Raw genomic sequence first — 13,643 nt, 5'->3', positions numbered from 1 at the left:
CTCTAAGGGCTCTGAATGTTTTAATTTATCTTAATCTCCATAGACATGCCACAGGGAAGTCGGCTAGAAAGTGTGGAGCAGGGATGGGAAGCCATCGGCTGGGCTCAGCCGGGATCCCTGGCTGCATTGGATGTGTGGAGCAGGAAGGATCAGGGCATCAGCTTGCTCCGCAGGGCAACATCGCATCTGAGGTATTGTCTTCAAGGGCAATTTGTCTCTTTGTTTAAAGAGAAGCAGCGTAAAATACAGGGCATTCAGAGAGTTACGCGAATGGAGCTCAGAACGTCTATCACCAGTTACGGCTGAAGAAGAAACCAGGAGGAGCCCCGTGGTTGTGTTCACACTGCTGAGGCTAACAAGCGTTTGGCCCAGGTTCTGCAAAGATCCTTTATTTTAGAGAGAGAGAGAGAGAGCAGCATTCTGAGTCATGTTCTGGGATATGGAAGAAGGTAGAGTTAGTCTAGTTCTTAGCGGATTTTAGTGACCGCCATGCCCTAAGAATTGGGCTGACTCTACCCTCTTCCACATCACAACCCAATTCCGCTCATTCCTCTCTGTCTTTCTTCATTGGGCTGGGGAGAGGGGATGCAATTACACTCCCAGGAAGGATCTCGCGGACTGTAGAAACGTGACTGGGTATTCATTGAGAAGTCCTAGGCAATGTCACCGTGTTAACAGGCTTCTGAGTGACAACATCCCTTCTGCAGCCTTGCTCTCTGTGTTTTTCTACTTATTTTCATTATGTTTCCCTCTCTTTTCCCTACAGGGTCCTTTACCCGCTATTGCCCCTCTTATTCTGACCTTGTGTTCCTACATCCTGGCCTTCTGCTCCTCCTCCGCCTCCACCTCATTGTTTTCTCAATTCCTTCCTTCTCAATCCCTTGGTCAACTTCAGCTATCGTTTGTACCCCAACAACTTCTGAACTTCCCTCTAGAGCGCAGCACTTCCTCTTCACTCCCACAACTCTCCCACAACGCCACCCTCTGCGTATTTCCCATGCGTACCCAAAGCCAACCCATCCAAGGCTCATGAAGACCCTTCAGACCCCCATCGAGCTCCTCCTCGGTTCTTGGGGCCACCGTCCCCCGGAGAAGCCCACTCCTGAACACCATCGTCCCCTGTTCCTTCCAGGCAGTGGGCCCCGAGCCCCGGAATTTCTGCCTTCTTCTTATCCCTTAAGCACGCCATCGCCCCCTGTTCCTTCCAGGCTGTGGGCCCCGAGCCGCGGAATTTCTGCCTTCTTCTTATCCTTCAAGCGCTTGCCTGCCTGCACCCCATCCCTGCTGCCCCTGCTGTGACCACACAGCCGTCCACCTCTGCTTGGATTCCTGCAGGAGTCCACACCCGGGGTCTGGGCTGTTGTCCTGCCACCCAATCCTACAGGTGTGTTCTCATCAAGGGCACTTGTGTACAAATTCTGTTCATGATGGCCCTTTGCTGGAAGGCCCTTAGCTGAAATTCTGCTCACAACAGCCTTCCTGTGGCATGTCTGCCCATGCCTATGGCTGCCTTAGCAACCACTGCAACTGCAGTGACTTTCAACAGGGTAAATCTATTATCTCACAGTCTTGAGCTCAGGAGTCAAATGTGCGTCTCCCTGGGCTAAAATCCAGGTGCCTGCAGGACTACACTTCTTTCTCAAGGCTCCAGGGAGAACCTTGTCCTTGCCTTTTCCACCTTCCTTTTCACATGGCCCCTTCCCCCAGCCTTGTAGTCAGCAGTGGCCTATTGAGTCTCTGGAATCCCTCTTGAATCTTCTGCCTCCCTCTTCCACATCTAAGCGCTCCTGTGATCATGCTCGGCCCACCTGATGGTCCAGGACAACCCTGGTTTTCAGGTCGGCTGATTGGCAGCCTGATTTCCAGTTGTAGCCTTAGTCCTCCTTCGCCATGGAACATGAGAATCTCGCAGGTCCCAGGATTAGGGTGAGGGCATCTTTGGGGGTCCATTACTCTGCACACCACTACGGCTTCCAGAATAAGGTGAAACACCCCCAGCCCTGGCATCAGAGGCTCCATCACCTGACCCTCCCCTGCCCTGGCCTGAGCTTCATTCTTAATCTGTGTTTCAGGCAGTTTCCCCAACAATCCATTCTCACTCTGTCTTCAAGGTTGGAAACACCACTCTGTCTTCCCAAAGCACCATTGTCCCTCTCCCTGCTCTTCCAGCGGCTGACACCTGCCCGTCTTGGGCTCCACAGAGCTTCCTCTAAAAGTGTCAGAGGCGTTTAAACCAGAGCAACTCCATATTGAATAGGAACTGGGTAAAATAAGGCTGAGATCTACTGAGCTGCATTCCCAGATGGTTAAGGCATTCTAAGTCACAGGTTGAGATAGGAAGTTGGCATGGGATACAAATCATAAAGACCTTGCTGATAAAACAGGTTGCAGTAAGGAAGCCAAAACCCACCGAAACCAAGACAGCGACAAGAGTGACCTCTGGCCATCCTCACTGCTACACTCCCACCAGCGCCATGAGAGCTTACAAATGCCATGGCAACATCAGGAAGTTACCCTATATGACCTAAAAGGGGAGGCATGAATAATCCACCCCTTGTTTAGCATATCATCAAGAAATAACCATAAAAATGGGCAACCAGCAGCCCTCGCGGGCTGCTCTGCCTGTGGTAGCTAATCTTTTATTCTTTTACTTTCCTAATAAACTGCTTTCACTTTATGAATTTGCGTAGAATTCTTTCTTGTGCAAAATCCAAGAACCCTCTCTTGGAGGCACACAAGCACCTTAGCCTCATGAAAACTGGTCTGTTAGAGACCACCGTGGAAGGAGGGGAATGGCTGACCCTTCCTTTAGAGACCACCGTGGAAGGAGGGGAATGGCTGACCCTTCCTTGTTTGCTTGTTTCTCCCTGAACAGACCCGTGAAGCCCACATCCAAAACAAGCATTTTAAACAAATCCAGATTCTGTTGGGAGAAGAAAATGCTTCCTAACCTCAAAAGTGAGTTACCCAAGTGAGGCTGGACATGAAGTGTTTGTCAAAACAATGGACTCTGAGACGGAAGAGTAGAAGCAGATGGTCAAGGCCCGGGGTAAAAATGAGGGTGACTGACTGCAGGTGGAGAGGAAGGTGGGTGGGTGGGCAGTGGCCATAGATGACCCTGAGGCCTGAGCAAGCTCCATCAGGGCTCACACAGGCAACACAGAGGCAGCTGAAGAGCCGGCCCAGCCCCAACCCTTGCCTGTGCCACATGGGAGAGCCAGGCCACACCTGCAGAACCTCGGGACAGGTGAGCACACAGGTTCCCTGGGGAGAACACATCTTCCCATTGCCCTTTGGGACTTGGGGGGTGAGGATTCTTCACCAACTGTGATCTGCATGCGGCCCATGGATTGTCCACCCAACAGGCCTCTTCTTCATACTGTCTGAAGACTTTGCCGTGAATGTGCCTCTCAATGGCCCGGGTCACATATAAGTCCTTGGAGGAGAAAGATGTGGAAACGGAAGCTCCCTGTCCAGCGTCCAAACTTGGGTGGGTTTTGCCGATGGAAGCTGAGTCTGTTTCACCTGCTCAGTAACACAGGCACACATCCAGGTGTGGGTACCAAGCTCCAGACCAGAGCCAGGGCGTCGGCTGCTGCACAGTTCCCAACGTCATTCCCCTTAGTGCCTTCATGTTGATGCTGCTCTTTACTGGGAGGCGGGGGGGTTGTCAGCTGTTCCCCTTCTTCCTAAGACCCGAGCATTTATTCTGATGTAAAATATAATGGTTAATCTACAATGGTTAATGTGCTCCTGCATAATAGGAATGTGAATGTAATAGCATACGTTGACCCTTGAAATTACTTTATAACCACAAAACGTGACTAACCTCCAGCAGTCTGAGGGGGGACGTGTGGATTTTAAGAGACTGTAGTAGTTCCCAGACGCCATCTTCAGGACAGAGCCAGGCAGGTGCCTCTGCATGACTTGAAGAGCCTCGAAGACTGCTGGTCACCCTTTGCCACCACCACGGATGAGCTAATCCATTCATTCTGTAGAGAACCACATAGTTACAGAATTTTACCATTTTAGGTAAGGGAAAATGCAGCCAGGTGTGGAAACTATTGGATCAGGACCTGTCAGTGGGTTAATTTGGCAATTGTTTCTGAAGAAAGGAAAGCTCAATTAGATGGTGCCAACTAAGCAAGAGAGGACTGTAAGATACCAACTTCCATTAGCTTCTGGAACTCATTTTTTTTATCTAACTAATGACACAAACACACTCTTTAAAGTACCAACCCAGCGTGTGTGAGCGGCAGAAGGCAGCAGGGAGGCTCTGTCCGCCTGGAGGGAACAGGTTCTGCCACCAGCCGCAGGTGAGTCCCGGAAGGCCCAGGGCTTGGCCAGAGCGTCCTGTACCACAGGCGTCCTTGCCTCCCTGCGGGGCCTCGGCTTCCTCCCCAACCCGGACACATCCAGACAAGACTGGGCACCAGCAGGAGGGGATCTCATCGCAAGAGCTGGGTCAGGCAGCCTTTTGGTTCTACAAACCCAAAGTTCTCCTTCCTCACAAGAAACACAGACACCAGGGCTTCAGGGAACACCAGCAAAGGTGAAGCTGATGCAAGCAGCACAGCCAGCGTGGGAAGCCCCTTCCTCCCCAGGCTGAAGAGTCCTGTCCCCCAGGGAGATGGAGAGCCAGGGTTCCCTGCACCACCAGCCCGGGGAAGCTCCTCTGGCCCCAGACGCCACCAGCAGAATCCGGTGGAACCCAGCGTGGCACAGAAACCGAGACGACCACAACGACACCAGGACATGCTGCTTCGATAGGAAGTTTAAGGACTCGGGGTCTCCTAACGTAACAGACAAAATGCCCAGGACACAGCAAAAAATCACTCATCATCCCAAGAACCAGGAATATCACAACTTGAACAAAGGCAATCAACCATCACCAAACCCTAAGATGAACCAGATGTCAAAACTGCGGCCAAGGATTTTTAAGGGCCGTCATAATAGTAATTCAACAACCAGTTACAAATTATCTTGAAACAAATGAGAAAAAAATCAGCGAAAACATAGAACTTACACTAAAAACAAACTGAAATTATATAGCTAAAAATACAATCACTGAATACATAAAACTCACCAGGTGAGTTCACCAGCAGAGTATAGATGGCAGAGCACAGGGTCCGTGGCTATGAGGACGGGTTGATGGGATTTACATGATCTGACAACAGAGAGAAGATAGAATTTAAGAATTCCAAAATAAACAGAGCTCAGGGACCTATGGGACAACAACCAAAAAATCCCAACTTTTATCTCATAAGAATTCAGTAGGGAGAAGAGAAGAGAGTGAGATGAAAGAGTATTTGAATAACATAACGACTGAAAACTTCCCAGATCTGGCAAAAGATGTAAACACATAGACTCAAAGAGCTACATGAACCCCAAAGAGGATAGACTCAAGTAAATTCAGGCTAATGTGCATCGTGATGAAACTCCTGAAGAGTAACAGAGCAAAAGTCTTGAAAGGGACAGGAGCTGAACGATGTGTTATCCACAGAACAGCAATTCAAATGACAGCAGACTCTCCCTGTGAAACTGCAGAGGCCACACACAGTGGCACAAGGTTTTCCTTGTGCTGAATTAGAATAACCATCAGCCACAGATTCTGTATCTGGTGAAAAGATCCTTCCATAATGAAGGGAAAATAAAGACACTCTCTGATGAGAAAAACAAGGGGAATTTGTGGCCAGCAGACCTGTCCTTGAAGACTGGCTTAAGGAAGTCCTAAAAGCAAAACGAAATAGCAACTTGGAGTTTGGGAGCATTACAAAGGAAAAGGAGACAGCAGGAAGAGCCCGTTCTTCCCGTCTAAGTTGATATGGTCTGGATTTGTGTCCCTGCCCAAACTTCATGTGGAATTGTGATCTCCAGTGTTGAAGGAGGGGCCAGGTGGGAGGGGAACCAATTAAACTTATTTTCTTTATAAATTACCCAGTTTCAGGTATTTCTTTATAGCAGTGAGCGAACAAACTCATACTGAAGTCATCTATTTGATAATTGCCAGATAATTCCAATACCATCTGAGAGTCAAGTCAACCATATTTAAGAAGTGGGGATGGTAGGGGAGCCCACAGAAGTAAAATTAACCTAGCACATTTCAGGGAGACACAGCGGCGAAACTGAGGTATGAAGGCTCCCAGAAAAATTTCTAAGAAACACGCACAAAGCAATACAATAGAAACACTGTAAATAAGTAAAACTGGATCCTTAGTCAAGCACAGTACTACATAGGAAGGCACTAAAACAGAAACAGGAATAAGCAGCTGGGTCAGAAACACAAACAAATAAAATGGCAGATTTGAGCACTAATCAATAATTAACTTAAGTGAAAATAGTGTTATGTAACACCAATTAAGAAGTAGTGATGATCAGAGTGGCTTTAAAACAAATAAAAAATAAAGTAAACACACCCAACAATATGTTTTCACAAGAAATATGTTAAATGCCAAAGACAGTTTGAAACTAAAATTATGGAAGTACATATATTATGCAAGCACATAGACATATACACACTCCCCCAAGACATGGCTACATTAACATAAGGTAAATCAAGCTTTAGAGAAAAGAAAATTACCAGAAACAAAGGGGAACATTAATAAGGGTACAAAGATCAATCCAGCAGGAAGACAAAATGATCTTTAACGTGTATGCACCAAAAAATCGCAGGGGATCTCCAAAATTCTCCTAGAATTAATAAGTGATTCTACTTTGGCTGCAGGATAGAAGGCAAACAGATGAAAATCAATCACACTTCTCTTTACCACTAACGATGAGTATGTGATTACTAAAGTTCACAATTACCAAGTATAACTGCTCCAAAGAAGATGAAATATTGTCTACAGCCACAACACCCCGCACGCGTCTGATCTCAGAAGCTAAGCAGGGTTGGGCCCGCTCAGCACCTCAATGGGAAAAAGTGAAATGCTTAGGTATAAACACAGCAGAACCCAGATAGGATCCAGAGGCTGAAAATTATCAAATGCTAGTGAAATAAAGATCCAAATACATGGAGAGACATATTGTGTCCATTAATTGGAAGACATCACAGAGAAAGGTTAATTTTCCCCAAACAGATCTATAGGCTTCATTCTATTTCCTTCAAAATCCCAGCAAGATGTTTCATAGACATACTACAAGTTCGTTCTAAAATTTCTGTGGAAGAGCAAAGAAACTACAATAACTGAAACAATCTTTATCAGTAAAAGCATAAAACATGAGAGATCATTCACCTCGATATTAAGTATTTCTATCTAGTAATAGTCGTCAATACAGTACAGTATTCACACAATGATAGATTCATAGTTCCATGGGACAAAATAGAGAACCCCAAAGTAGACCCAAACAAATATGCCCAACTGAGTTTTGACAAAGATGCTGCGAAATTCATTAGAGGAAATATGGCCTTGTCAATAAATGGGGCTGTATTGGACTTTCATAAGTGTGAAATTCATTACAGGAAATATGGCCTTGTCAATAAATGCGGCTGTATTGGACATTCATAAGCAAAAACAAACAAACAAAAAATACCCTTCAACCTAAACCTCACGCCTTATACAAAAATTAACTCAACTTGGCTTAAATGGAAGAGAAAAATAAAAAAAAATTTACGAAAAATAATAGAGAAAATTTCCTGCATTTGGGACTTGTTCTTAGACTTGACACTGAAAGCATATTTTGTTAAAGAAAAAATTGGTAAATTGGACCTTATCCAAACAAGAAACTGCTCTGTTAAAGCCTGTTAAGACAATGAGAAGACAAGCAATGGGCTAGGAGAAAACGTTTGCAAGCCACCTGTCTGGAGAAGAGCTCATTTCTGTGATATACGTGACACTCTCAAACCTCAACAGTGAGAGCACAAACCATCCAACTAGAAAATGCACACAAGACATAAAGACACATTTCACCAAAGAGGACATATGATGGCAATAAGCACATGGAAAGATGTTCAGCATTATCAGCCAATAGGGAAATGCAAATTAAAACCTTGTGAGACACCACGACATACCTAACAGGAGGCTGAAAGTTAAAATAGATTGAAAACACCAAATTTTGACCAGGATGGATCATTCTTCTATCGCTGCTGGGAATGCAAAATGGTACAGCCCCTCTGGAAAACAGTTTGGCAAGCTCAGAAAAAACTACCGTATGTGCCAGCACTGGAATTAAACTTCTTGGCATTTATCCCAGAGAAAGGAAAACTGAGGTTCGTACAAAATTCTGAATGAAAATCTTCGTAGCAGCTCTACTTGTGACAAGCCCAATCCAGAAGCAGCCCCAATGTCCTCCAATGACTGAATGATTCAACAAACTGCAGTACATCATATCTTGAAATATTACTCAGTAGTGAAAATGAATTATTGATACACACAAGTTAGATGCATCTGAAAGGAATCATGCTGCATGATAAAAGCCAACTCCCAAATGCATCATTTACAGTAACATTTATGTAACATTTTGACAAAAGGGTAGAGGTGGAGAATGAATGGGACAGCCAGGGTGGATGGAGGTGGAAGAGAGGAGGCAGGAGGGCTGGGCATGGCGGTAAGAGGCGGCATGAGGGCTCCTGGTGCTGATGGGATGCTGTGTATCTCGACTGTGTATCTTGACTGTGTATCTCGACTGTGTTGGTGGATACACGAATCTCTACACATGATACAATTACATGGAGCTAAACATACACAAACACACACAGGTGCATGGTGCATGTAAAACTGGAGAAATCCAGACATAACCAATAGACTTTACCAAACTCAATTATTTGGCAGCGATATTGTTCTGTAGTTTTGCAGGATGTTACCTTTTGGGGAAACTAGATTCATGGTACATGGAGCCTCTCCAAATCACTTTTTACAATCACAAGTGAATGTGCACTCATCTCAATATAGAGTGATCAATTAAAAAATAAAACGTGAGGCAATGTGATAGCTACATGCTGAAACTCAAAATAGGACTGTCGTGTTATCAGTCTATCTTTATATTGTAAACTGGAGTAATTGGCTTCATGTATCTAAATAAAATCTTGTATATATTAGAAAATATGGATTTAAAATACTTAATATTAAATATCAGTGTAAACCATAGACTGTGTTATACATCAGATATGTATTTTAATCAACTTTTTATAAATAATGGCTTTTACATTGTGGTCATAAGTCTTTGTGCTGAAAGCATCGGGGGGTTTGAAGAAGCCGAAGGATGGAAGAGTTAATCTCTGTTGCTCCGAAGACAACCATGCCGGTGAATACCTCAGGTCCAATGTGTGATCAGGATATATATTTATATGAATTTATTCAGGATTCTTTTGTTCTGATATGCTAACACAGAGTGACATTCTCAAAAGTGCAGAATGGAGAGAATGATATCTATAGCACAAGTGATTTCAATTTATTCTTTATTTTATGATCTCACAAAGCCTTGTCTTTATTTTTATGATCTCTATGTTGATCATGCCTTAGAATGAGAGGAATGTTAATTTTCAAAAAGCAAAGGCAGTTCTGAAGACCTGGGTGTTTTTACGTGTTTCTGTGCAAGGCGGTGATTGTGATGAGCACCAGGAGGTGAAGGATTGCTCCACCCAGCCTGCAGAGAGCCAGAGAGTTTGCCAAGGCCACAGGAGGACTGCAATGCCCAGGAGGTGAGGGGCCCCTCCGTCCAGCCTGCAGAGAGCCAGAGAGTTTGCCAAGGCCACAGGAGGACTGCGACGCCAAGCTTTGGACAGGTGTTTATTCACGCCGAGGGCTTTGGACAAATTTTTCCATCGAGCTCTCGGAACGTCTTGTCTCCTTTAAGTTCAGCCGGAATGTCCCCTCCTGAAGGCCTTCCCTGATGACCCATCTTCAGCTCCTGAGCTGTGCTTCTTGAGGGATGCAGATGAGGTGATGGAGACTCTGCGTGTCCTCGTCCCCAGGCAGCATCTCCCTGACACCCTCATGCCTCTGACCTTCACTCCTAACTCTTTCCATCCTTCTTCATAATACCCAGATTACATAAAGGATGGCTGCTCACCACCAAGAGCAAACTTCCCTTTTCCAAGAGCCACCCTGGACCCTTCTTCCCTAAACTAGCTGGGCTTCAGTGCCCTCTCTCTAACCTCGTAGGCATTTCACCTCCTTCCCCTGCCCCAGGCTTCTTCAGAGTCTTCTCCCGCTGGCTTTGGGAGAAGAGCCGGTGCTGAGGGTGCTCTGACTGGACCCCCTCCAAGCTGTCCCACAGACCCCAAGCTCTCCCTCCCAGCACCTTTCTGGCTTCCAGATGGTCCATGTGGTTGCTCTCTGCCTCCATGTGTAGAAAGCGAACTCCCAGAAGCCAGGGAGCTCACCTGCATCAGAAGCCAGGGAGCTCACCTGCATCAGGCACCCTTAGGTCTCCTAGCAGAGTGCAAGAAAAACCAAAAGCTCAACAGTGTGTGTGGAGTAAAAGGAGGTGGCATTACCAGCCTTGCTGGACAGATGAGGAAAGGGAGGAATGAGATCTTAAAGGGGTTGCCTGGGCTCTAGAGCTGGCAAGGGGAAGGAGAGCCGGGCTGAAGACCTCTGGCCCAGGGCAGCCCTGCAGATGGCAGCCGCCTGGACCGCGGGGCTCTGAGTGGGCACAAAGGTCTTCACTGCCATCCCTACCTGCCTCCCTCCAGCCTCTCTCTCTCAGCCTCTCTCTCTCAGTCTCTCTCTTGTCCTGTCTCTCTCTGGGTCTCTGTCTTATCTCTGCTTCTCTCTCACCTCTCCCCCTATAAAGATAAAAGTCTGGGAAGATGCCTAAACAGACACCGTACGACCCCACTTGGCACCTTCTTCCTGTGGAACGGGTGTCGGCCTTCGAAAGCAGGTGGCAACAGAGAGGACACTTAGGGCACTGGGCCCTAGGCAGCTGGGTGGCGTCTCAGGAGGAGCTGGGCGGGGAGAGCGCAAGGGGCCTGACCGGCTCCCCTCAGCTGCACTGATGAGCTGTAGGGAGAAGGAAAAGGGGCGGTGGAGCTTTGCTTCGTCCCCCTTAGGGTAGCAGGCAGGGGACGCAGGAGACAGGAAGCAGAGCCAAGTCAGGCATCAAACAGGCATGGCACGTGCCTGCGCCGCACTGAGCGGATCCTTGTCTGTTTCTTGGAATTTAGAGGAAGATCCAGTGGGGAGCACCGGAGAAGGACTGGAACGTCTCACAATTCAAACTCACTCGCCCTGTCATTAATTCAGGGAAAGAAACTCAACTGACCACAGAGCGCTGGGCCCAGAAAGAAACCTGAGAAAGCACTGCTCCTGCGGGGCTCACCTGAGCCTCCTTGATGGCTGATCTCACCTGAGCCTCCTTGGTGGCTGATCTCACCTGAGCCTCCTTGGTGGCTGATCTCACCTGAGCCTCCTTGGTGGCTGATCTCACCTGAGCCTCCTTGGTGGCTGATCTCACCTGAGCCTCCTTGATGGCTGATCTCACCTGAGCCTCCTTGGTGGCTGATCTCACCTGAGCCTCCTTGATGGCTGATCTCACCTGAGCCTCCTTGGTGGCTGATCTCACCTGAGCCTCCTTGATGGCTGATCTCACCTGAGCCTCCTTGGTGGCTGACCTCAGAGGAGAACTTGGTTTCTTAATCTCAGGTCCAAAGTGGATTCTAAAAAATATGTCCCTTTGCTTTGGTTACCCCTGAAACTGTATGTCCCCAGGGGCTGGGGAGGTTCACGAGGGAGCTCCATCAGGAAGGCAGGACTCATCCCCGACCCACAGGCAGCTTTGCCTTCCTTGGCCCAAAGCCGCACCTGCTTCCCAAAGCCCTGCCTCAGCCCAGGGGTGTGGACTGGAAGGCTGAGCCACTTGTTACTGTGCCTGCTTCCCATGGCTACTGTATCCAACACCGCTGGCACTCTGCACTGACAGCTGACGCATTTGACCTGGCTCCCATTAGCTCCATCACCACCTGGTAAGTGCCTGCCTCCCACCTGCTGTACTCCAGCGATCAGCCATCCCCCATCCCAGAGGGTCCCCAGGCAGCATGCTAACAGCCTCTTCTACAAGCCAATTTACAAGGATCTGGTCATGTTTACATTAGCCTTCTCCCAATGCATGAAAAGAGAAGAGCTTGCTTCAGAATAGAAATGAGCAAATATGAATAATTCAATTTTCCTTGTGGCTATTAACACATTTTCCTTGAATAAAGTGATAATAGGTTATCATCTGTGAAATGGAAATTGCATAACAGAGAGTTTCTGGTTACACCAGAGGAAATTAATTTCATGGTACATCTGCTGGGACCTAACTTGTGAATGCTGAGCATGAGAAAATGCAGCCGTTCAGCTCGGCTACCTCTCTAATTAGATTAGCACTGCCCCCACCCATGCTGGCATCCTCAGTCTAGGCAGGAGAATCGCTGTTCCCTTCCGCAGATACCTAATATTTGTAATGATGAAATGACTGGAGCAATTAGGGGAAGTTAAAAATGAATTATGGGACCATACTCTATTAACCAGATGCTGCTTTAAAGGGACTGGGCTTGTGTTATCTGTCTAGTTAAGTACAGTACTGAGACTGGCTATCAATAAGTACAACCGATCACATCAGCATATACCACATATGAAACTATTTTACAATCAGCTGAGGGTTGCCATGTCAACCAACACAGGGGATTCAGAGAGCAACCTGGTGATCTGTCAACCACGTAGACAGAGTGCAAGTTACCACAGGCAGGGCAGAAGCTACACAGAAGATAGGGAATGCCCCAGTGCCAATGGCCCATTGGATTCACTGAGAGGCTTGGGGACAACCGTCGACTATGTAGTACCATGTGACCATTTTCAGTTGCACCTTATAGACTTCAGCATAAATAACCATCTAGGAAAGTTGGAAGGCGTGACTTCCGTGTTTATAGCATGCTTTCTATGTAAAGTGCGAGGACAGGATGAGTTGAGGCTCCCCCACCAGCCTTGTACCTGCTCTCTGAGGACCTCAGCTTTTCCATCTGTCCAAGCCCAATGGTTCTTACATGAAAGACAGACAATGGCGGCAAAGCCAGCCCATCTCTCCTGCCCTCTCCCCTGAGCCCTTTCTCATTCCGGTCTTCTCATCATTGCTTTATTTCTGCCTCTCCTCCCTGGGCCAAAAGTGGAAGGCTGATACTTCCAATCATTTCTATACCTACTAAGTGCAATGAAATTCTTATATAATCGGGCTTTAAAATTGCCCATTTTTAATAAAATGAAGGGGTCATTGGATTCACTTATCTTTTTCCAGCACACTTAGTGGGAAATAACGCAATACCAAGCTTTTCTACAATTTGGGCCTCTTCCTGGCAGAGCTAGGAGCAGGTGCAGAGGCACCTTCCGGGAGGGCAGTCCTCCTGGGCGCACCTGCTCCTGCATGAAGGTCTAGACTTTGCTTCATTCTCAGAAACCTGGGTCTTTTCTTGGCAGTTCTAAGGTTGATGACACTTCACATCGTCTTAACAGGGACCTCCTTCAACTCCACAACTGTATTTCCTCTCACCTGAAAGGTGATTCTGCCTCAAAGCGTGCAAAATTTTGGTAGATTAAGATACCTCCTATTTCCTTGAAGCATTGATCACACTTTTTTATGCAAAACTTAAATAAAATTCAATAATTTTAACCTTAAGGAATTGTGCTGGGGAAGCAATATATGATTTTAATTATTATCTTGATTTA

The 13,643-nt window shown here is 46.9% G+C and overlaps 1 pseudogene, besides 2 other annotated features; it reads left to right on the top strand.

Annotated features, from left to right (window-relative positions):
• Positions 4,512-5,013: an enhancer, noted in NCBI's record as "H3K4me1 hESC enhancer chr18:75577351-75577852 (GRCh37/hg19 assembly coordinates)". NCBI's record gives its function as "activates a minimal SCP1, AML or CMV promoter by ChIP-STARR-seq in naive H9 embryonic stem cells {active_cell/tissue: H9 hESC(naive)}" and the evidence as "EXISTENCE:reporter gene assay evidence [ECO:0000049][PMID:30033119]".
• RNA5SP461 (RNA, 5S ribosomal pseudogene 461) lies at positions 6,841-6,944 on the top strand (annotated as a pseudogene).
• Positions 11,502-12,791: an enhancer, noted in NCBI's record as "VISTA enhancer hs1186". NCBI's record gives its function as "enhancer in: neural tube[5/7] | hindbrain (rhombencephalon)[5/7]" and the evidence as "EXISTENCE:transgenic organism evidence [ECO:0001131][PMID:17130149]".

This window comes from Homo sapiens, chromosome 18, assembly GCF_000001405.40.
Source record: "Homo sapiens chromosome 18, GRCh38.p14 Primary Assembly".
Lineage (NCBI taxonomy): Eukaryota > Metazoa > Chordata > Mammalia > Primates > Hominidae > Homo > Homo sapiens.
Note: the sequence above shows the minus strand (reverse complement) of the source record. Positions and strands in the feature narration are given on the sequence as shown.